Below are 25,652 nucleotides of genomic sequence, written 5' to 3'. Positions count from 1 at the left end.
AGTGTAAAAGCATTCTTATTTCTCCACATCCTTTCCAGCATCTGTTGTTTCCTGACTTTTTAATGATCGCCATTCTATCTGGCGTGAGATGGTATCTCATTGTGGTTTTGATATGCATTTCTCTGATGACCAGTGATGATGAGCTTTTTTTCATATGTTTGTTGGATGCATAAATGTCTTCTTTAGAGAAATGTCAGTTCATATCCTTCACCCACTGATGGGTTTGTTTGTTATTTTCTTGTAAATTGTTTAAGTTCTTTGTAGATTCTGGATATTAGCCCTTTGTCAGATGGATAGATTGCAAAAATTTTCACCCATTCTGTAGGTTGCCTGTTCACTCTGATGATAGTTTCTTTTGCTGTGCAGGAGCTCTTTAGTTTAATTAGATCCCATTTGTCTATTTTGGTTTTTGTTGCAATTGCTTTTGGTGTTTTAGTCATGAAGTTTTTGTCCATGCCTATGTACTGAATGATATTGCCTAGGTTTTCTTCTAGGGTTTTTTATGGTTTTAGATCTTATGTTTAAGTCTTTAATACATCATGAGCTAATTTTTGTGTAAGGTGTAAGGAAGGGATCCAGTTTCAGTTTTCTGCATATGGCTAGCCAGTTTTCCCAACACCATTTATTAAAAAGGGAATCGTTTCCCCATTGCTTGTTTTTGTCAGGTTTGTCAAAGATCAGATAGTTGTAGATGTGTGGCGTTATTTCTGAGGCCTCTGTTCTGTTCCATTGGTCTACATATCTGTTTTGGTACCAGTACCATGCTGTTTTGGTTACTGAAGGCTTGTAGTATAGTTTGAAGTCAGACAGCGTGATGCCTCCAGATTTGTTCTACTTGCTTAGGACTGTCCTAGCTCTGCGGGCTCATTTTTGGTTCCATATGAAATTTAAAGTAGTTTTTTCCAATTCTGTGAACAAAGTCAGTGGTAGCTTGATGGGGATAGCATTGAGTCTATAAAAACTTTGGGCAGTATGTCCATTTTCATGATATTGATTCTTCCTATCCATGAGCATGGAATGTTTTTCCATTTGTTTGTGTCCTCTCTTATTTCCTTGAGCAGTGGTTTGTAGTTCTCCTTCAAGAGGTCCTTCACATCCCTTGTAAGTTGGATTCCTAGGTATTTTATTCTCATAGTAGCAATTGTGAATGGGAGAGTTCACTCATGATTTGGCTCTCTGTTTGTCTGTTTTTTGCATATAGGAATGCTTGATTTTTGCACATTGATTTTGTATCCTGAGACTTTTCTGAAGTTGCTTATTAGCTTAAGAAGATTTTGGGCTGAGACCATGGGGTTTTCTAAATACACAATCATGTCATCTGCAAACAGAGACAATTTCTTTCTCTTGCCTGATTGCCCTGGCCAGAACTTCCAATACTACGTTGAATAGGAGTGGTGAGATAGGGCATCCTTGTCTTGTGCTGGTTTTCAAAGGGAATGCTTCCAGTTTTTCACCATTCAGTATTGGCTGTGGATTTTTCATAAATAGGTATTATTATTTTGAGATATGTTCCATCAGTACCTAGTTTATTGAGAGTTTTTAGCATGAAGGGCTGCTGAATTTTGTCGAAGGCCTTTTCTGCATCTATTGAGAGAAGCATGTGGTTTTTGCCATTGGTTCTATTTATATGATGAATTATGTTTATTGATTTGCGTATGTTGAACTAGCCTTGTATCCCAGGGATGAAGCCGACTTGATTGTGGTGGACAAGCTTTTGATGTGCTGCTGGATTTCGTTTGCCAGTATTTTATTGAGGATTTTTGCATCGATGTTCATCAGGGATATTGGCTTGAAATTTTCTTTTTTTTGTGTGTGTCTCTGCCAAATTTTGGTACCAGAATTATTCTGGCCTCATAAAATGAGTTAGGGAGGATTCTCTCTTTTTCTGTTGTTTGGAATAGTTTCAGAAGGAATGGTACCAACTCCTCTTTGTACCTCTGGTAGAATTCGGCTGTGAATCCATCTGGTCCTGGACTGTTTTTTGGTTGGTAGGCTATTAATTACTGCCACAATTTCAGACCTTGTTATTGGTCTATTCAGGGATTCAACTTCTTCCTGGTTTAGTCTTGGGAGGGCGTATGTGTCCAGGAATTTGTCCATTTCTTCTAGATTTTCTAGTTTGTGTAGAGGTGTTTATAGTATTCTCTGATAGTAGTTTGTATTTCTGTGGGATCAGTGGTGGTATCTCCTTTATCATTTTTTATTGCATCTGTTTGATTCTTCTCTGTTTTCTTCTTTATGAGTCTGGCTAGTGGTCTATCTATTTTATTGATATTTTGAAAAAACCAGCTCCTGGATTCATTGATTTTTTTTTGAAGGTTTTTTTGTGTCTCTATCTCCTTCAGTTCTGCTCTGATCTTAGTTATTTATTGTCCTCTGCTAGCTTTTTGTATGCTCCTGCCTCTTGAGTTCTTTTAATTGAGATGTTAGGGTGTCAATTTTAGATCTTTCCTGCTTTCTCTTGTGGGCATTTAGTGCTATAAATTTCCCTCTACACACTGCTATAATTGTGTACCAGAGATTCTGGTATGTTATGTCTTTGTTCTCATTGGTTTCAAATAACTTATTTATTTCTGCCTTAATATCTTTATTTACCCAGTAGTTGTTCAGGAGCAGGTTGTTCAGTTTACATGTAGTTGTGTGGGTTTGAGTCAGTTTCTTAATCCTGAGTTCTAATTTAATTGCACTGCGATCTGAGAGACTGTTATGATTCCCATTTTTTTTTGCATTTGCTGAGGAGTGTTTTACTTCCAAATATGTGGTCAATTTTAGAATAAGTGCAATGTGGTGCTGAGAAGAATGTATATTCTGTTGATTTGGGGTGGAGAGTTCTGTAGCTGTCTATTGGATCCACTTGGTCCAGAGCTGAGTTCAAGTCCTGGATATCCTTGTTAACTTTCTGTTTCGTTGATCTGTCTAGTATTGACAGTGGGGTGTTAAAGTCTCCCACTATTATTGTGTGAGGGTCTAAGTCTCTTTTTAAGTCTCTAAGAGCTTACTTTATGCATCTGGGTGCTCCTGTGTTGGGTGCATATATATTTAGGATAATTAGCTCTTCTTGTTGCATTGATCCTTTTACCATTATGCAATGCCCTTATTTGTCTCTTTTGATCTTTGTTGGTTTAAAGTCTGTTTTATCAGAGACTAGGATTGCAACCCCTGCTTTTTTTTGCCTTCCATTTGCTTGGTAAGTATTCCTCCATCCCTTTATTTTGAGCCTATTTGTGTCTTTGCACGTGAGATGGGTCTCCTGAATACAGAACACTGATGGGTCTTGACTCTTTAGCCAATTTGCCAGTCTGTGTTTTTTAATTGGAGCATTTAGCCCATTTACATTTAAGGTTGATATTGTTATGTGTGAATTTGATCCTGTCATTACGATGCTAGCTGGTTATTTTGCTGTTAGTTAATGCAGTTTCTTCATAGTGTCAATGGTCTTTACAATTTGGTATGTTTTTGCAGTGGCTGATACCAGTTGTTCCTTTCCATGTTTAGTGCTTCCTTCAGGAGCTCCTTTAAGGCAGGCCTGGTGGTGACAAAATCTCTCAGCATTTGCTTGTCTGTAAAGGATTTTATTTCTCCTTCACTTATGAAGCTTAGTTTGGCTGGATATGAAATCCTGGGTGGAAAATTCTTTTCTTTAAGAATGTTGAATATTGGCCCCCATTCTCTTCTGGCTTGTAGAGTTTCTGCTGATAGATCTGCTGTTAGTCTGATGGGCTTCCCTTTGTGGGTAACCTGACCTTTCTCTCTGGCTGCCCTTAACATTTTTTCCTTCATTTCAACCTTGCTCAATCTGATGACTATGTGTCTTGGGGTTGCTTTTCTTGAGGAGTGTCTTTGTGATGTTCTCCATATTTCTGAATTTGAATATTGGCCTGCCTTGCTAGGTTAGGGAAGTTCTCCTGGATAATATCCCGAAGAGTGTTTTCTAACTTGGTTCCATTCTCCCCATCACTTTCAGGTACAGCAATCAAACGTAGATTTGGTCGTTTCACATAGTCCCATATTTCTTGGAGGCTTTGTTCATTTCTTTTCATTCTTTTTTCTCTAATCTTGTCTTCTTGATTTATTTCATTAAGTTGATATTCAGTCTCTGATATCTTTCTTCCGCTTGACCGAATCAGTGCTTGATCCTTGTGCATGCTGCATGAAGTTCTCATGGCGTGTTTTTCAGCTCCATCAGGTCATTTATGTTCTTCTCTAAACTGGTTATTCTAGTTAGCAAGTGGTCTAGCCTTTTTTCCAGGTCCTTAGCTTCCTTACATTGGGTTAGGACATGCTCCTTTAGCTTGGAGGAGTTTGTTATTACCTACCTTCTGAAACCTACTTCTCTCAATTCGTCAAACTCATTCTCTGTCCAGTTTTCTTTTGTTCCCTTGCTGGTGAGGAGTTGTGATACTTTGGAGGAGAAGAGGCGTTCTGGTTTTTGGAATTTTCAGCCTTTTTGCTCTGGTTTCTCTCCATCTTCATGGATTTATCTACCTGTGGTTTCTGATGTTGGTGACCTTCTGATGGGGTCACTGAGTGGCTGTCCTTTTTGTTGATGTTGATGCTATTCCTTTTTGTTTGTTAGTTTTCCTTCTAACAGTCAGGCCCCTCTGCTGCAGGTCTGTTGGGGTTTGCCCTAGGTCTACTCTAGACCCTGTTTGCCTGGGTATCACCAGCAGAGGCTGGAGAACAGCCAAGATTGCTGCCTGTTTCTTCCTCTGGAAGTTTTGTCCCAGAGGGGCACCCACCAGATGCCAGCCAGAGCTCTCCTGTATGAGGTGCCTGTTGGCACCTACTGGGAGGTGTCTCCCAGTCAGGATACACGGGGGTCAGGGACCCACTTGAGGAGGCAGTCTGACCCTTATCAGAGCTCGAATACTGTGCTGGGAGATCTGCTGCTCTCTTCAGAGCCATCAGGCTTTTCAAAGATGCTTTAAGTCTGCTGAAGCTGTGCCCACAGCCGCCCTTTCCCCTAGGTGCTCTGTTCCAGGGAGATGGGGGTTTTATCTATAGGTCTCTGACTGGGGCTGCTGCCCTTTTTTCAGAGATGCCTTGCCCAGAGAGGAGAAATCTAGAGAGGCAGTCTGGCTGCTGTGGCCTTGCTGAGTTGTGGTGGGCTCCACCCAGTTCAAACTTTCTGGTGGCTTTGTTTACACAGTGGGGGTAAAACTGCCTACTCAAGCCTTGGCAATGTGGAAGCCTCTCCCCCCACCAAGCTCTAGTGTCCTAGGTCAACCTCAGACTGCTGTGCAAGAATTTCAAGCCAGTGGATCTTAGCTTGCTGGGCTCTGTAGGGGTGGGACCCGCCGAGCCAGACCACTTGGCTCCCTGGCTTCAGCCCCCTTTCCAGGAGAGAGAATGGTTCTGTCTTGTTGGCATTCCAGTTGCCACTGTGGCATGAAAAAAAAAAAACCTCCTGCAGCTAGCTCGGTGTCTACCCAAACAGCTGCCTAGTTTTGTGCTTGAAACCTAGGGCCTTGGTGGCAGAGGCACTGGAGGGAATCTCCTGGTCTGTCGATTGTGAAGACCATGAGAAAAGCATAGTTTCTGGGTGGAGTGCACCGTTCCTCATGGTACAGTCCCTCGGGGCTTCCCTTGGCTAGGGGAGGGAATTCCCCCAACCCCTTGCACTTCCTGGGTGAGGCAACGCCCCATTCTGCTTTGGCTCACCCTCCGTGGGCTGCACCCACTGTCCAACCAGTCCCAGTGAGATGAACCAGGTACCTCAGTTGGAAATGCAGAAATCACCTGCATTCTGCATTGATCTCACTGGGAGCTGCAGACTGGAGCTGTTCCTATTTGGCCATGTTGCCAGCAAATTCTGAGATTTTTTTCAAAAGTGCAAAGAAAGACATCTGAGGGGTGCTGACATATTCGGGTCACCTCAAGCCACATGCCAGCTTGCTTGCCCCTGTTGGATTCAGCAGAGGGAGATAGGCCTTGCCATACCTGTGGTGTCTGCCAAAGCTTCCTCCTGGCAATTCTTGGGAGTGCTGATACCTGGGCCACAGTTAGTCCAAGTTTATCACTGAAGATCCTATCAAAGTTTTGTCTGAAATTCCACTTTTGCCTTTTGTCCTAAGTGGTTGTGGACATCTCCAGGGGCTGATACCAAGGACTAGGAACAGCTGAGGGAGGCAGAAAGGTTCAGAGTACATCTCTATTTACAGGGAACAGAACACCGGCCTCCGAGAGTCCATGGAGCAATGGGAAAATTGCAGTGATTACTCATCACTGTGAAACTTCTACTTTGAATACAGTATCTTCTGGCAAGCATAGGGGACTGCAGTCGACAATGCTGCTGAATATACCTGAGTACATAGTAAGACATTTGTTTGGTAAACAGTCAATGCATACAATAAATTACCTTGAGAGGGCCATCTGTGCTCCAGATGTGAGAGTTCATGTGAATAGAATGGCTGCAATTCAAAGAATCTTCACAGGAAAACAGGGCTCAGAGCTCATCCACAATGGACAGACAGGGAGGGAAACAGGTGGAGGTTAGTTCACCACTTCCTCATAAGAAGGTAATAAATAGTTTGGTGAAATAAAATGGTAGCACTGAGTAATTGCGGGCTTCTGGATAGGCAGTCAGGTTGATTTCATGTTGCTACTGCTGGACTTGAGGGCTGGCTTGGCTGTGGTGGCAGACACAGCAGCAGCTCAGGATGATGGTGATGGTCCATGCCAGCCAGAACCACCAATGTTCATAGTAGTAGTTACAACACTGAGACTGCCCATAGCAGTGTCCTGTTGTGTCACAGATGTAGCTTTGATTGTTGGTACACACACAGGCTTCCTTATCCTTTGGGGGTTCAGCCCTGGCTGACACAGGGCTGGGCAGTGCCTAGAGGTGCAAGAGCTCCATGCCACCCAGGAGTCTTCCCTCCATACTCCTCCTGCTCCTCCGACCCAGCGTGGGCACCTCCCTCCACCCTTGCTGCACTTCTCCTCTACCCTCTTCTTCCTTCTTTTGTTCTTTTCCTGTAATATGTTTTGAAGTCAGATTGTGAGGCCTTCAGCTTTGTTCTTATTGCTCAAGAGTCCTTTAGTTATTCAGGATCCTTTGTGGTTCCATATAAATTTTCAAATTGTTTTTTCTATTTCTGTGAAGAATGACATTGAAATTTTGATAAATATTGCATTAAACCTATAAATCGCTTTGGGCAGTAAGGACATTTTAAGAATATTAATTCTTCCTACCCATGAACATAAACTATCTTTCCATGTATTTGTGTCATCTACAATTTTTCATCAATGTTTTATAGTGTTCAGAATACAGATCTTTCACCTCCTTGGTTAAATGTACTCCTAAGTACAATCCTAAATGTGCTCCTAAACAAAAAAAATACGTTTTTTTTGATGCTACTGTGAATGAGATTGATTTCTTTATTTTTGTCATATAGTTTGTTGTGAGTGTAAAGAAACTACTGAGTTTTGTACATTGATTTTGAATTCTGAAATTTTATTGAATTCATTTATCATTTCTAATAGCTTTTTGGTGGAGTTTTTAGGGTTTCCTATATATAATATGTCATCAAACAGAGACAATTTTACTTCTTCCTTTTCAATTTGAATCTTTTATTTCTTTATTTGGCTTAATTGCTCTGGCTAGGACTTCCAGAAATAAGTTGAATAGAAGTAGTGAGAATAAATATCCTTGTCTTGTTTTTGATCTTAGCAGAAAAGATTTCACTTTTTCATTGTTGGGTATGATGTGAGCTGTGAGCTTGTTATATATGTCCTGTTTTGTGTTAAGGTACATGCCTTCTATGCCCAATTTGTTGAGAGGTTTAGTCATGAGAGGATTTTGAATTTAGTCAAATGCTTTTTCTGCATATATAGAGATAGCTATTTTTTTATCCTTCATTCTGTTAATGTGGTTTATCACATTTGATTTGTGTTTGCTGAAACATCTGGAGGATAAATCCACTTTATCATGGTAAATGTTCTCCTAATATGTTGTTAAATTCTGTTTGCTAGTACTTTTTTTTGAGGACTTTTGTATCTGTGTTCATCAGGGATATTGGTTGGCCCATACTTTTCTTATAGTGTCCTTGTTTGCCTTTTTATTTTTATTTTTATTTATTTATTTTTTAAATTATACTTTAAGTTTTAGGATACATGTGCACAACGTACAGGTTAGTTACATATGTATACATGTGCCATGCTGGTGTGCTGCACCCATTAACTCATCATTTAACATTAGGTATATCTCCTAATGCTATCCCTCCCCCCTCCCCCCACCCCACAACAGGCCCCAGTGCTAATATCCGGAATCTACAATGAACCCAAACAAATTTACAAGAAAAAAACAAACAACCCCATCAAAAAGTGGGCAAAGGATATGAACAGACACTTCTCAAAAGAAGACATTTATGCAGCCAAAAAACACATGAAAAAATGCTCACTATCACTGGCCATCAGAGAAATGCAAATCAAAACCACAATGAGATACCATCTTACACCAGTTAGAATGGCCATCATTAAAAAGTCAGGAAACAACAGGTGCTGGAGAGGATGTGGAGAAATAGGAACATTTTTACACTGTTGGTGGGACTGTAAACTAGTTCAACCATTGTGGAAGACAGTGTGGCGATTCCGCAGGGATCTAGAACTAGAAATACCATTTGACCCAGCCATCCCATTACTGGGTATATACCCAAAGGACTATAAATCATGCTGCTATAAAGACACATGCACACGTATGTTTACTGTGGCACTATTCACAATAGCAAAGACTTGGAACCAATCCAAATGTCCAACAATGATAGACTGGATTAAGAAAATGTGGCACATATACACCATGGAATACTATGCAGCCATAAAAAATGATGAGTTCATGTCCTTTGTAGGGACATGGATGAAGCTGGAAACCATCATTCTCAGCAAACAATCACAAGGACAAAAAACCAAACACTGCATGTTCTCACTCATAGGTGGGAATTGGACAATGAGAACACATGGACACAGGAAGGGGAACATCACTTTAAAAAAAAAACAATAATGCTGATCTTTTAAAATGAGTTTGGAAACACTCTTTCTCCTTCAAGTTTTTGGAAGAATTTCAGAAGGATTGTATTATTATTTTTTAAAATGTTAGAATTCAGCAATGAAGTTTTCTGGTCCTGGGATGTTCTTTGATGGGAGATGTTTTATTATTGATATACTCTCCATACTCAGTATTGTTCTGTTCAGATTTTATCTTTCTTCTTGACTTTCTCTAGGTAAGTTGCATTTTTCTAGAAATTTATCTGCTTTTTCTAGGTTATCCAATTTGTTGGCTTGTAATTGTTTATAGTGGCCTCTTATGATCCTCTGTATTTCTGTGGTATTAGTTGCAATATTTCCTCTTTCATTTCTGATTTTATTGCTTTGAGTATTCTCTCATTTTTCTAGTCTAGCTAATGGTTTGTCAGTTTTATCTTTTCAAAGAACAAATTCTTAGTTTCATTGATCTGTTCTATTTTCTTTCACAGTCTTTTTTGTATTTGAAGGACTTGTATTTGTTAACTGGCTCAAGCCTGGACATTTGTTGAGGTGCTATGAGTCTCTATTGCTCTCATTTCTCTTCACTAGACATAGAAATTTTCTGATTACACGAATCAAATAAGACTAATAAGCTTCCCAGGGATGAATCCCACTTAAGCATGGTGAATTTTTTTGCTGTGTTTTTTTAAAAATAATATTTGCTAATATTTGGCTGAAGGTTTTTCCATCCAAGTTCATCAGGAGTATTGGTCTGCAATTTATTTTTATTATAGTGTCCTTCTCTGGTTTTGGTATCAGGGTAATGCTGGTTTTGAAAAATGAATTTGGAAGTATTCCTCTTCTTCACTTTTTTTGGAAGAGTTTGGGAAGGATTGGTGTTAGTCATCTAAGTGTTTGTTGGAATTCAGCCACCAAGCCATTCAATCCTGGGTCTTTCTTTTATGAGAGACCTTTCATTGGTGATTTAATTTCCTTATTCATGATTTCTTCTAAATTTTGAATTCTTCATGATTCAGTTTTGGTACGAGTTTATCAATTTCTTCTAGGTTATCTAATTTGCTGGTGAATAATTGTTTATAGTAGTATGTTATGATTTTTTAACTTCTGTGGTATCAGTTGTAATGTCTCTTCTTTCACTTCTGAGTTTGTTTTCTTTTTTCTTAGTCTATGTAAGAATTTGTTAATTTTGTTTATCTTTTCAAAAAACAATTCTTATTTTTATTGAAATTTTCAGTTTCTATTATATTATTTCTGCTCTGATCTTTGTTATTTGTTTCCTTCTGCTATCTTTGGGCTTGTATTGTTCTCTAATTTTCTCGCTCCTTTAGGCATAATATTAGGTTGCTTATTTGAGATCTTTTTTTTCTTTTTTGATGTAGGCATTTATTGCTATAAATGTCCCTCTTATAACTGCTTTTGTTGCATCCCATATGTTTTAGTATGTTATGTTTCCATTTTCATGCTACCTGATTTTAGAATATATTTCAAAGCATGGTGTATAGTGCTTTTAAAAAGAGGCTATATATAGGTATATATAAAAACAATACACACATTATATATAAACTATGACATGCTTGTAAAGAAAAGAGAACATAAAGTTTCTGAGGAAATAATTAGAAGAACAAGAGGATGCAAAGGGGTCTGTCAAAGATTCAGTGAAATGAGGGTTTTTGGATATTCACAGCTAATAGATTAATGCATTAGGAATGAGCAAAAAAATTGATGGTAGTCAAACAGAGGGAGGGAGGTAGATTTTGAATGATTCAAAGCAGGAGTGTTTTGAAGATAAACAGAATAACTAAAAAGAAAGACTCAGATGAAAAGCCTAGATTTAAAGCATTTGAATCAATAGGTGGTAATCTAGGAATTAGGTTGATTTCTTTTTTTTAAATTTGTGTAGCTTTTTATGTTATTTTTTGTTATACTTTAAGTTTTAGGGTACATGTGCACAAAGTGCAGGTTTGTTACATATGTATACATGTGCCATGTTGGTGTGCTGCACCCAGAAGACTGGTTAATTTCAATAACCTAAAAATCCACAAGGTGGGAGTGTTTCACTGAAGCCAGTTGTTAGAGAAACGTTAGAACCAACTTCCTTTTTTTGTCTGTCCCTTCTTCTCTGCTTTCTTCTTTTCTCCTCCTCCTCCTCCTACCTTTACTCTCCTTCTTCTCTCTCTGTTTTTCTAATCATGAAAACAAATGAAAAAAACTATGAGCAAGAGCACAGAAAAAAGACTAGCAAAGACTGCAGTTATTGAAAGTATCAGATACAAGAGCCCTCCTGACATGGGAGGCAAGACTGACTCAGGTGTTACCTGTTATGCTGGGGGCACAGCTATACCCTGGTGAGTTTCTCCTTTACTTAAAAAGATCACTTAGGGCAGCCGCCGCCGCCCGACCGCCGGGAGGATGGAGTTCAGCGGGCAGCGGAGCTGTCTCAGTCTTTGCCGCCGCGCCGGCGAGCGCCGCCCGGGAGGCAGCGGCTGGAGGAGCGGACGGGCCCCGCGGGGCCCGAGGGCAAGGAGCAGCCGCCTGCCTTGGCCTCCCAAAGTGCCGAGATTGCAGCCTCTGCCCGGCTGCCACCCCGTCTGGGAAGTGAGGAGTGTCTCTGCCTAGCCGCCCATCGTCTGGGATGTGAGGAGCCCCTCTGCCTGGCTGCCCAGTCTGGAAAGTGAGGAGCGTCTCCGCCCGGCCGCCATCCCATCTAGGAAGTGAGGAGCGCCTCTTCCCAGCCGCCATCACATCTAGGAAGTGAGGAGCGTCTCTGCCCGGCCGCCCATCGTCTGAGATGTGGGGAGCGCCTCTGCCCCGCCGCCCCATCTGGGATGTGAGGAGCGCCTCTGCCCGGCCGAGACCCCGTCTGGGAGGTGAGGAGCGTCTCTGCCCGGCCGCCCCGTCTGAGAAGTGAGGAGACCCTCTGCCTGGCAACCACCCCGTCTGAGAAGTGAGGAGCCCCTCCGCCCGGCAGCTGCCCCGTCTGAGAAGTGAGGAGCCTCTCCGCCCGGCAGCCACCCCATCTGGGAAGTGAGGAGCGTCTCCGCCCGGCAGCCACCCCGTCCGGGAGGGAGGTGGGGGGGGGTCAGCCCCCCGCCCGGCCAGCCGCCCCATCCGGGAGGGAGGTGGGGGGTCAGCCCCCCCGCCCGGCCAGCCGTGCCATCCGGGAGGGAGGTGGGGGGGTCAGCCCCCCGCCTGGCCAGCCGTGCCATCCGGGAGGGAGGTGGGGGGGTCAGCCCCCCGCCCGGCCAGCCGCCCCGTCCGGGAGGTGAGGGGCGCCTCTGCCCGGCCGCCCCTACTGGGAAGTGAGGAGCCCCTCAGCCCGGCCAGCCACCCCGTCCGGGAGGGAGATGGGGGGGTCAGCCCCCCGCCCGGCCAGCCGCCCTGTCCGGGAGGGAGGTGGGGGGGTCAGCCCTCCGTCCGGCCAGCCGCCCCGTCCGGGAGGTGAGGGGCGCCTCTGCCCGGCCGCCCCTACTGGGAAGTGAGGAGCCCCTCTGCCCGGCCAGCCGCCCCGTCCGGGAGGGAGGTGGGGGGGTCAGCCCCCCGCCCGGCCAGCCGCCCCGTCCGGGAGGGAGGTTGGGGGGTCAGCCCCCCGCCCGGCCAGCCGCCCCGTCCAGGAGGGAGGTGGGGGGGGTCAGCCCCCCTGCCCGGCCAGCCGCCCCGTCCGGGAGGTGAGGGGCGCCTCTGCCCGGCCGCCCCTACTGGGAGGTGAGGAGCCCCTCTGCCCGGCCACCACCCTGTCTGGGAGGTGTGCCCAACAGCTCATTGAGAACGGGCCAGGATGACAATGGCGGCTTTGTGGAATAGAAAGGCGGGAAAGGTGGGGAAAAGATTGAGAAATCGGATGGTTGCCGTGTCTGTGTAGAAAGAAGTAGACATGGGAGACTTTTCATTTTGTTCTGCACTAAGAAAAATTCCTCTGCCTTGGGATCCTGTTGATCTGTGACCTTACCCCCAACCCTGTGCTCTCTGAAACATGTGCTGTGTCCACTCAGGGTTAAATGGATTAAGGGCGGTGCAAGATGTGCTTTGTTAAACAGATGCTTGAAGGCAGCATGCTCGTTAAGAGTCATCACCAATCCCTAATCTCAAGTAATCAGGGACACAAACACTGCGGAAGGCCGCAGGGTCCTCTGCCTAGGAAAACCAGAGACCTTTGTTCACTTGTTTATCTGCTGACCTTCCCTCCACTATTGTCCCATGACCCTGCCAAATCCCCCTCTGTGAGAAACACCCAAGAATTATCAATAAAAAAATAAATTTAAAAAAAAAAAAAAAAAAAAAAAAAAAAAGAAAGTATCAGATACAGAAAATAAAATAAAATAACTATATTTAGTATGTTTAAAGTAAAACAAAAAATTAAAAATATCATAATGGAACAGGAAACTCTAGAGAATGGCCAAGAAGATTAAAAGAAAACAAATAGAATGTCCATAGAGAATAACATAATTGAAATTTAAACCCAAATGAATGGTTTTAACAGAATATTAGTATGTTAGAAGCAGTTGAAGAGTGAACTAGTAAACTGTAATATAGGTGAGAAGGGGCTATCCAAAATGAACACAGGAATAAAGACATGGAAAATAAGAAACATGTAGTTAGGAGACATGGAAGACAGAGGGGGAAATGCTAAAAAGTTTTAAAGAGTGTTTCAGAAGGAGAGAAAGGAGATCATGAATCAGTGTATATATTTTTTAAATTTTATTTCATGTTCTGGGATACACGTGCAGAAAGTATAGGTTTGATACATAGGTAAATGTGTGCCATGGTGGTTTGCTTCACCCATCAACCCATCACCTAGGTATGAGGTCCTGCATGCATTAGCTATTTGTCCTGATGGTCTCCTACACCCTGTCCCCCTGAGAGGCCCTGGTGTGTGTTGTTCCCCTCCATGTATCCACGTGTTTGTCCTGATGGTCTCCTACCCCCTGTCCCCCTGAGAGGCCCTGGTGTGTGTTGTCCCCCTCCATGTATCCACGTGTTTGTCCTGATGGTCTCCTACCCCCTGTCCCCCTGAGAGGCCCTGGTGTGTGTTGTCCCCCTCCATGTATCCACGTGTTTGTCCTGATGGTCTCCTACCCCTGTCCCCCTGAGAGGCCCTGGTGTGTGTTGTTCCCCTCCATGTACCCACGTGTTTGTCCTGATGGTCTCCTACCCCCTGTCCCCCTGAGAGGCCCTGGTGTGTGTTGTTCCCCTCCATGTACCCACGTGTTTGTCCTGATGGTCTCCTACCCCCTGTCCCGCTGAGAGGCCCTGGTGTGTGTTGTTCCCCTCCATGTACCCACGTGTTTGTCCTGATGGTCTCCTACCCCCTGTCCCGCTGAGAGGCCCTGGTGTGTGTTGTTCCCCTCCATGTACCCACGTGTTTGTCCTGATGGTCTCCTACCCCCTGTCCCCCTGAGAGGCCCTGGTGTGTGTTGTTCCCCTCCATGTACCCACGTGTTTGTCCTGATGGTCTCCTACCCCTGTCCCCCTGAGAGGCCCTGGTGTGTGTTGTTCCCCTCCATGTACCCACGTGTTTGTCCTGATGGTCTCCTACCCCCTGTCCCCCTGAGAGGCCCTGGTGTGTGTTGTTCCCCTCCATGTATCCACGTGTTTGTCCTGATGGTCTCCTACCCCCTGTCCCCCTGAGAGGCCCTGGTGTGTGTTGTTCCCCTCCATGTACCCACGTGTTTGTCCTGATGGTCTCCTACCCCCTGTCCCGCTGAGAGGTCCTGGTGTGTGTTGTTCCCCTCCATGTACCCACGTGTTTGTCCTGATGGTCTCCTACCCCCTGTCCCGCTGAGAGGCCCTGGTGTGTGTTGTTCCCCTCCATGTATCCACGTGTTTGTCCTGATGGTCTCCTACCCCCTGTCCCCCTGAGAGGCCCTGGTGTGTGTTGTTCCCCTCCATGTACCCACGTGTTTGTCCTGATGGTCTCCTACCCCCTGTCCCCCTGAGAGGCCCTGGTGTGTGTTGTTCCCCTCCATGTATCCACGTGTTTGTCTTGATGGTCTCCTACCCCCTGTCCCCCTGAGAGGCCCTGGTGTGTGTTGTTCCCCTCCATGTACCCACGTGTTTGTCCTGATGATCTCCTACCCCCTGTCCCGCTGAGAGGCCCTGGTGTGTGTTGTTCCCCTCCATGTACCCACGTGTTTGTCCTGATGGTCTCCTACCCCCTGTCCCGCTGAGAGGCCCTGGTGTGTGTTGTTCCCCTCCATGTACCCACGTGTTTGTCCTGATGGTCTCCTACCCCCTGTCCCCCTGAGAGGCCCTGGTGTGTGTTGTTCCCCTCCATGTACCCACGTGTTTGTCCTGATGGTCTCCTACCCCCTGTCCCGCTGAGAGGCCCTGGTGTGTGTTGTTCCCCTCCATGTACCCACGTGTTTGTCCTGATGGTCTCCTACCCCCTGTCCCGCTGAGAGGCCCTGGTGTGTGTTGTTCCCCTCCATGTACCCACGTGTTTGTCCTGATGGTCTCCTACCCCCTGTCCCCCTGAGAGGCCCTGGTGTGTGTTGTTCCCCTCCATGTACCCACTTGTTTGTCCTGATGGTCTCCTACCCCCTGTCCCCCTGAGAGGCCCTGGTGTGTGTTGTTCCCCTCCATGTATCCACGTGTTTGTCCTGATGGTCTCCTACCCCCTGTCCCCCTGAGAGGCCCTGGTGTGTGTTGTTCCCCTCCATGTACCCACGTGTTTGTCCTGATGGTCTCCTTCCCCCTGTCCCCCTGAGAGGCCCTGGTGTGTGTTGTTCCCCTCCATGTATCCACGTGTTTGTCCTGATGGTCTCCTACCCCCTGTCCCCCTGAGAGGCCCTGGTGTGTGTTGTTCCCCTCCATGTATCCATGTGTTTGCTCTCATTGTTCAACTCCCTCTTACGACTGAGAACATGTGGTGTTTGGTTTTCTGTTCCTGTGTTAGTTTGCTGAGGGTGATGGCTTCCAGCTTCATCCATGTCCCTGCAAAGAACATGATCTCATTTATTTTAACGGCTGCATAGTATTCCATGGTGAATATATATCACATTTTCTTTATCCAATATATCATTGATGGGCATTTGGGTTGATTCCATGTATTTTCTATCGTAAATAGTGCTGCAATAAACATATGTGTGCATGTATATGTATGTGTGTGTGTATATATATGTAGTTATAATATGTATATATATGTGTATATATATGTGTGTATATATATACACATATATATACATTTACATATATAATATCTGTATATATGTATATATATGTGTATATATATGTATGTATATGTATATATATATATTTTTTTGAGATGGAGTTTTGCTCTTGTTGCCCAGGCTGGAGTGCAATGGTATGATCTTGGCTCACTTTGACCTCTGCCTCCTGGGTTCCAGCGATTCTCCTGCCTCAGCCTCCAAAGTAGCTGGTATTACAGGTGTGCACCACTATACCTGGCTAATTTTTGTATTTTTAGTAGAGATGGAGTTTCCCCATGTTGGCTAGGCTGGTCTCAAACTCCTGTCCTCAGGTTATCCACCCGCCTTGGCCTCCCAAAGTGCTGGGATTACAGGTGTGAGCCACTGCACCCAGCCCTGTGCATGTATCTTTATAATAGAATGATTTATATTCCTTTGGGCATATATCCAGTAAAGGGATTGCTGGGGCAAATGGCATTTCTGGTTGTAGATCTTTGAGGAATTTTCACACTGCCTTCCACAGTGAATGAACTAATTTACATTCCCACAAACAGTGTAAAAACATTCCTATTTCTCCACAGCCTTACCAGCAACTGTTGTTTCTGGAGTTTTTGATAATCACCATTAAGACTGGTTTGAGATAGTATCTCATTGTGGTTTTGAGTTGCATTTCTCTAATGATCAGTGATTTGAGCTTTTTTTCATATGTTTGTTGGCCACATCCATGTCTTCTTTTGAGAATTGTCTGTTCATGTCCTTTGGCCAATTTTTGATGTTTTTTTTTTTTATTGTAAATTTAAGTTCTCCATAGGAGCAGGTGCTCTAATTGCTTGGAGGTCTGCCTATGTGTGGAGATGAGAGGGCCTCACTGCACTATAATCTCAGCACAGGAAGGTTGGGGAAGCTCAGGCTGCTGATCCAGTCAAGTGGGTACTCCACATACCTGGAAATCTGCCTGGCCATAGACTGGAGAGGGCCCCACTGCACCACAACCTATGTTTATAAACGGTGGGGTAGCTCAGGATGCTGGTCCAGGTAGACAGGTGCTCCAATGCCTGAATTTCTGCCTGGGGGTGAAGCAGAGAAAGCCCTGCTGTATCACATTCTCAGGGGAACAGGCTGGGGCACCCAGCAATGACACCTGCAGACTGGTTGTAGGTCTCCAAGCTGGCCCTGGCTGCAAGTTTCATCACCTGGGAGAAATTACAGCTGTAGCAGCTTTTCTGTTGCCCTGAGGCTGCGATGGGGGAAAGCACAATTCCAGCACATACTGCTGAGGTGTTTTCCACAATATGGCTGTGAAGGTCCCTACCAAGCCCCAAAGCAGTTGTTCCAATCTTTGGCCTGAGACTAAAATGCCTGTGCAGGCATTCTGCTGGGTCACAAAAAGAAAAAAAAAAGCTGACTTTGCATGCATCCAGATTGAAAATGGCATCTTGCTCTTACTTCCTGGTCTGGGAAAATGTCTGCAGCTGTTCCCAGTGTCTTTGCTTCACAGCATCTCCAAGCCTCTCCCCATGTTGACTCCAGGCCTTGGGAGAAACAAAATGCAACAACTTGGCTGGGGTTGCTCAGATTCACAGTGAAAATGTCAGTTACAGAGGGAGGCTCTCTGCCTCTCTCACATACTAGGACTTCGCTCACTTTTATAAGCTGGTTGCTGTCATGTTGACTGTTTGCTCACATTCTCCTTCTTGGGATCTATGATGTCCTTCATGATTCTGGTGGATTCCCATTTTCCTTCTTGACTTAGAGCTCACAGAGTTGACCTTTGTGCACTCTCTTGCTATTTCTAAGTGGCCGAGGCATACTAAAAGCCTCTAATTTATCATCTTTGGAAAAAAACAAAACAGGGAAGTTTGCTTTTGCAAATTGTTGTTTGTGGGGGTCTGTCCTGCAGACCCCAGCTGCACGAGGGATGAATAATGTACTCAGACACCAATTATTCAGTGAAAGAGCCGCTAGGGGGCTGGGCCGTGCACAGAAAGAGTTCTGGCAGCCACCAGCCCTGACTAGCTAGCCCTGCCAGCATTTATTGAAAAAACATTAAATGACAGGGGCTTTTAGTCAACACAAATAGAGGGTAATTAACCTGGTCACCCTCCCCCGAGAGAGAGCCATCCTGCCTGTGAATGATCAAAGGTTGGCTTCAGGACCACATGAGTAAACAAGTTATTTAGATAAACTCCCTTACATTCCTTTGCACCTACTTTAAGCTATTTACTCAAGGAAGGATTAGGCCGCCTTCATTCAGATCTATTACTGAAGCTATACAACACCCCCAGCCTTCCATGAAGGTTTGTGTCGATTTCTTATAACTATCTTTAAAATTTTTCCCACCAGCCTGACTGAACTCCCACAGTTGTTGCTACTTTTTGAAATTGAAATACTTCTAGGAAGACTGATTAAGAACAATATAGAGAAAAGACATATTTTTCAAACTCCTGATGAAGAAGAAACATCCGTATTAATATATAGCTAATAAAAAGATAAGAGATGTTGTGGAAAACTTCATACAAGGGTGCCCACTCTCAGAACTTCTATTCAACATAGTACTGGATGTCCTAGCCAGAGCAATTAGGCAAAAGAAAGAAATAAAAGGCATGAAAATTGGAAAGGAAGAAGTTAAATTGTTTCTGTTTGCAGTTGACATGATCTTATATATAGAAAACACCAATAACTCTGCCAAAAAATTTAGAATTCATAAATGAATTTAGTAAAGTTGCAGGATACAATGTGAACATACAAAATTCAGTAGCATTTCTACACATCAACAACAAACTATACAAAAAAAGAAATCAAGAAAACAATCCTATTTATAATAGCAACAAAAAATACTTAGATGTAAATTTAAACAAAGAGGTGAATGATCTTTACACTGAAAACTACAAAACATTGATGAAAACAATTGAAGAAGCCACAAATAAATGGAAAGATATATCATGTTCATGGATTGGAAAAAGTAATATGTTTGAAATGTCCATACTATCCAAAGTGATGTACATATTGAATGCAATCTCTATCAAAATTCCTATGACATTTTCCCACAGAAATAGAAAAACAACTCTCAAATCTGTATGGAATCACAAAAAACTCTGAAAAGCCAAAATAATCTTGATCGAAAAAAGCAAGGCAGGAGATATCACATTACCTGACTTCAAATTATACTACATAGCTATAGCAATGGAAACACCATGGTACTGGCATAAACGCAGACACATAGACCAATTACACAGAATAAAGAGCCCATAAATAAATCTACATATTATAGTCAATTGACTTTCAACAAAGGTGCCAGGAACACACATGGGGAAAGAACAGTCTCTTCAAAAAATGGTGTTGAGAAAACTGAATGTCCACAAGATTGATCTTAGGCCCTTATTTCATACCATATAAAAATATAAATTCAAAATAAGTTAGACTTAAATGTAAGACCTAGCACTATAGAACTCCTGGAAGAAAACAGGGGAATAACTCCAAGACATTGGTTTGGGCAATAATATTTTATGATATTACTCTAAAGCACAGGCAAGAAAAGCAACAAAACACAAATGGAATAGCATCAACCTAAAAAGCTTCTGCACAGCAAAAGAAAGTCAACAGAGTGAAGTGATAACCTACAAAATGGGAGAAATTATCTGCAAACTATACATTTGATAAGAGGCTAATGTCCAAAATATCTTAGGAACTCAAACAACACAATAATAAGAAAACAAGGAACCCTAATGAAAAATTGACAAAGGATCTAAATAGACATTTCTCAAAAGAAGACATACAAATGGCCAACAGATATATAAAAATGCTAATTATCACTGATCATCAGAGAAATGCATATTAAAACTACAATAAAATGCCATTTCACATCCGTTAGAATGGCTGTTACAGAAAAGGCAGAAGATACCAAGTGTTGGAGAGGATGTGGAGAAAAGGAAAACCTTGTAATTGTTGAGAATGTAAACTATTTCAGCCATTGTAAAAGACAGTATAAATGATTCTGTAAAAATAGAATTACCGTATGATTCAGTAATGCTATTTCTGGGCATATATTAAAAAGATATCAAATCAGTGTGTCAATGAGTTATCTGTACTCCCATATTTATTGTAGCATTATTCACAACAGCCAAGATGTGGAATTAACTTAAGTATCCATCGACACATGAGTGGATGAAGAAAATGTGGTACACATACACAATAGAATAGTATACAACCTTAAAAAATAAAAAAAGTATCATTTGTGACAACATGAATGAACCGGGAGGACATTATACTGAGTAAAATAATCCAGGCACAGAAAGCCAGATACTGCATAATCTCACTTGTATGTGGAGGTCTAAGAAGGCTGAACACATAGAAGTACAGAGTAGAATGATGGTTACCAGGAGGATTGGGTAGATGTTGGTCAAAGGGTACAAAATTGCATTGTACAGGAGGAATGAATTCAACAGATCTATTGTGCAATATGGTGACTATAGTGGATAACAATGTATTGTTTTTAAATTTAATTTTTGTGGGTACATAGCAGGTGTATACATTTATGGGGTACATGAAATATTTTGGTACAGGCATGCAATGTACAATAAGTACATAATGGAAAATTGGATATTCATCCCCTCAAGCATTTATTATTTGTGTTATAAACAATCCAATTATACTCTTTCAGTTATTTTTAAATGTATAATTGAATTTTAGACTGCAATCCCCCTGTTGTGCTATCAAATACTAGGTCTTATTAAATCTTTCTTTTTTTGTACCCATTAACCATCCCCCACCTCTCCCAACCCCCACTACCCTTCACAGCCTCTGGTATACTTCCTTCTACTCTCTATCTCCATGAGTTCAGTTGTTTGCTTTTTGGATTCCACATATAAGTGATAACACATAGTATTTGTCTTTTTGTGCCTGGCTTATTTCACTTAACATAATGACCTCCAGTTTCATCTATGTTGTTGCAAATGACAGGGTCTCATTCCTTTTTATGGCTGAATAATACTTCATTGTATATAAGTACCACATTTTCTTTATTCATTCATCTGTTGATGGACACTTAGGTTGACTCCATAACTTCGCTATTGTAAATAGTGCTGCAACAAATACGGGAGTGCAGATATCTCTTCGATATACTGATTTCTTTTTTGGGGGGTATATATGCAGCAGTGGGATTGCTGGACCACATGGTAGCTCTATTTTTACTTTTTTGAGGAGCCTTCAAACTGTTCTCCATAGGGGATGTACTTGTATTCTTCAAAATTGCTAAGAGTAGATTTTTAAGTGTTCTCATAAAAAAAGATAAGCATGTAAGGTAATGCATATGTTAGCTTAACATGGCTATTTTACAATGAATATATATTTCAAAACATATAATTTTATTTATCTGATAAAATAAATATAAAATATGAAACTTTATATTAATAAATTTGACAATCATAAGGAATGGTCAAGTTCCTATGAAAAATACCTACTTTTATGAAATGATCAGAAAAAAACTAGAAAAACTGAGTAGTTTTTTTTTCATTGTAGAAATTTTATTTAGAAAATTTTTTTTTCCTGTAGAAAGAACTCCAGGGCTAGGTGGATGCAATATTTAATAAAGAAATATTACCAAATATTTAATAAAGAAATAATGCCAATGTTACATGAATATTTTTAGAGAATTGGGAAGACATAACACTTTCCAACTTGTTTTATATGGTGGTACCTCCATGATAGTAAAACCATACAAGGATATTAAAAGAAATGAAATTACAGACTAATATACTACATAATAATTCTAAACAAAAATGTTTGCAAATATAATCCAACAATATACTCCAAAGAAAAATACATCATGACTAAGTGCAGTAATTTCAAGAATGTATGGTTTAAAATTAGAAAACCAAACAATGAAATTAACCACATTAACTGAATAAAAGAAAAAAATATGGTTATTTCAATAGCTGTGGGAAAAGCACTTGTTCACATTTGAAACTATTTGTAATAATAACAAACTAGGAATAGAAGAGAACTGATGTAAATATCTTAATATATACACAAAAACTACTCTCAACATTATAAATAATCATGACATATTAAACAGTTTCATTCTAACATGAGGAACAAGGTACACATGTCCAGCTCAACACTTTATTCATCATTAAAATAATACTGTGCAGTAAAATTAACAAGGAAAATTTTAAAAAGAACACAAAAGAAAACTACAAATCCTTATCCCTGATCAACACAGATGTAAAAATACTCAACAAAATTCTAGCAAACTGAAGCTAACAACACATCAAAAAGATAATTCATCATGATCAAGTGGGCTTTATTCCAGGGGTGCTTCAATGGTTCAAAATAGACAAATCAATAAACATGATTCACCACATAAATGGAACTGAGAACAAAAACCCTATGATCATCTCATTAGATGCAGAATAAGCATTTGATAAAATCCAACATCTGTTTATGATAAAAACCCTCAACAATATAGGTATAGATGGAGTATACCTCAAAAAATGAGTCATCTATGACAAAGCCACAGCCAACATCATCCTGGATGGGCAAAAGTTAGAAGTGTTGCTTCTAGAAACTGGAAAAAAGCAAGGATGTTCACCTTCATCATTCCTATTCAATACAGTACTGGAAGTGCTAGCCAGAACTATCAGAAAGGAGAAAGAAATAAAAGGTATACAAATTAGAAAAGAAGTCAAATGATCTCTGCTCACTGATGACATGACTGTAGGCCTAGAAAACCCTAAAGTCTTCAGAAGACTCCTAGACTTGATACACGACTTCAGTAAAGTCTTGGGATAAACAAGCCACAAAAATCAGTTGTATTTCTATACACCAAATACATTCAAGCTGTTTGAATGTTTGTTGAGATTAATTTGTTGAGAACCAAATTAAGAACTCAACTGAATTTACAATAGCCATGAAAAATACCTAGGAATGCATAACTATATAAATGAAAGATCTCTACAAGGAGAACTACAAAATACTAATGAAAGAAATTATAGATGACATAAACAAATGGAAAAACATCCCATGCTCATGGATTAGAAAAATCAATAGCTAAAGTGACCATATCACCCATACAATCTATAGAGTTAATGCAATTCCCATCAAATTACCAACGTTATTTCTCACAAAATTAAAAAAAAATCCTAAAGTTCACATGGAGCCAAAAAAATATCCCTAATAGCCAAAGCACTTCTAAGCAAAAAACAAAGCAAAACAAAACAAAGCCCCCAGAGCAAAAGACAAATATGGTTCCTACAAATGAAGACCAATGGTAATGCTTATCTGTTCGTGGTAGAAGTGTAAAGTGGTAGGATTGTTAAAAAAAATAGTGTAGCATTTCATGGTAATGTTGAATAACTCAATAATTTTACTTTTAAATATATACCCCAGAGGATATCTTGCACATATGAACCAGGTGATTTACAAAAGAATGTTCATAGCAGCATTGTTTGTAATGGTTAAAAACTGGAAAAATTTCAAGTGTTCATCAACAATAGATCTGAGGAATGAAGTCCGACATATTCATGTAGTGGAATATCATATAGCAATACGAATGGATGAATTACACCAACATTCAACAAGGTTGTAATATGCAAACTTATTATTGAATCAAGGTGAAAGTACCTTCTGATAAAGGTGAAAGAACTTCTACAAAATAATTTCATTTATATAAGTTTCAAAGAACCAAACTAAATAATGCATCACTTGAGAACCATTAAAGTCTATTAAAAAACACATACAATGCAATGGAAGGACAGTGGTCATATCCAGCAGGAAATAAAGGAGAACACAATTGGCAAGGAGCACCCAATGGGCGTCTAAGGCACTAGTAAAGTTCTATTTTGTTTCCAATCCTCCAAGACATCTAGTTTTTTTATTTTTCTGAGACATGGTGGCCCAGGCTGGAGTACGATAGTGTGATCTTGGCTCACTGCAACCTGTGTCCTGGGCTTAAGTGATCCTCCCACCTCGGCCTCCCAAAGTACTGGGATTACAGGTGTGAGCCACCATGGCCGGCAAATGTTCTATTTCATATCCTGTATGGTGGACACATAGATGTTCTCTTTTTTATTATTCCTTGAACACTAAGTATATGTTTATTTATATTCTCTGTGGAATACCTCCTTATTTCTCAGTCAATTCAGGATACCTCCTTACCCCCATCCCCTTTTTACTTTTCGTCACGTCATATAGTTTCTGAAATATAGAAAAGCTTACATATTATCCTGTCATCAAAGCGGCATGGAGGCATTTGGTAGAATAAATATTATTTGTTGATTATTCATCCTTTCCTTTCACTTTACAGAGTCAATCAAACACCAGGTCATGTTAATTTTACTGTCACGCACATATCTTGAATTTGCCTCCTTATCTCTATTTCCACTATTCAGTTCAGACCTTGATAATCACTCATCTGCATTGTAGTTGCATTTTTCTAATTATTCTGTTTCTAGTCTTGTTCTAAAATCTTTTTTCCTCCCACAATGCAGCTAGAGTGGTCAATTTAAAGCATCATCTATCTCAAGAACAAAAAACCAAACACCGCATGTTTTCACTCATAGGTGGGACTTGAACAATGAGAACACTTGGACACAGGAAGGGGAATATCACACACCGCGGCCTGTTGTGGGGTGGGGGGAGAGGGGAGGGATAGCATTAGGAGATATACCTAATGTAAATGATGAGTTAATGGGTGCAGCACACCAACACGGCACATGTATACATATGTAACCTGCACGTTGTGCACATGTACCCTAGAACTTAAAGTATAATAAAAATAAATATTAAAAAAAGAAGCATCATCTTTATTAAAACATTTAACGGTCCTACTATTCCTTATGCTATAAATTTCTTATAATTTAATAAATATTTTTCCATAATTGTGACTCTCTTCTATAGCTCTTGTTACTCCCGATATTCTTCTAATTATCAGGCAGCAGTACAAAGCTGCTTACACCTCTTTACACATCTCTTTATTTTAGGCCTCCTTGCATTTGCTCATGCTGTTCCTTTTTGTTTGAAAAACTTACACATTTCTTCATTTGGTTAATCCTTGCACACTTTCAAGATTCATTTGAGGCCTCATTGACTTTGGAAACCTTCCTTGTAATCTTGTATTATTAATTTATCTTAGTTTTCACTTATTAGCTCTTATTAGATTACTGTCCTTACGTGTGTAACTCTCCCACTAGACAGTAAGCTTTTGGACGGCAGAGATGATGTCTCATTCATCTTTGCATCTTTAGCGCCCAGCCTGGTTTCTGGTTTCCTATAGTCACTCAGTGTTGAGCTAAACCATATTTTTGGAGCAATGACTTGACAATGCAGTATCATGATGGAACTATCACAGATGGACAGAATGAGTCTCTTGATTCCTACATTTATTTTTCTATTGATATAGCTGATTTAAAAAGAAACCTGTTAATTATATAATCATGTAATTACCCTGACATAACATCAAACTCCATAAATTACTTTCCATCTCTGCCTCTCTCTCTTTCTATATATATAACATATACATGTTACAAA

General features: G+C 41.3%; 1 pseudogene; it reads right to left on the bottom strand.

Annotated features, from left to right (window-relative positions):
• WBP1LP3 (WBP1L pseudogene 3) lies at window positions 6,473-6,979 on the bottom strand (annotated as a pseudogene).

This window comes from Homo sapiens, chromosome 8, assembly GCF_000001405.40.
Source record: "Homo sapiens chromosome 8, GRCh38.p14 Primary Assembly".
NCBI lineage: Eukaryota > Metazoa > Chordata > Mammalia > Primates > Hominidae > Homo > Homo sapiens.
The sequence above is the reverse complement of the archived record's forward strand: the minus strand, read 5'-3'. Positions and strand labels throughout refer to the sequence as shown.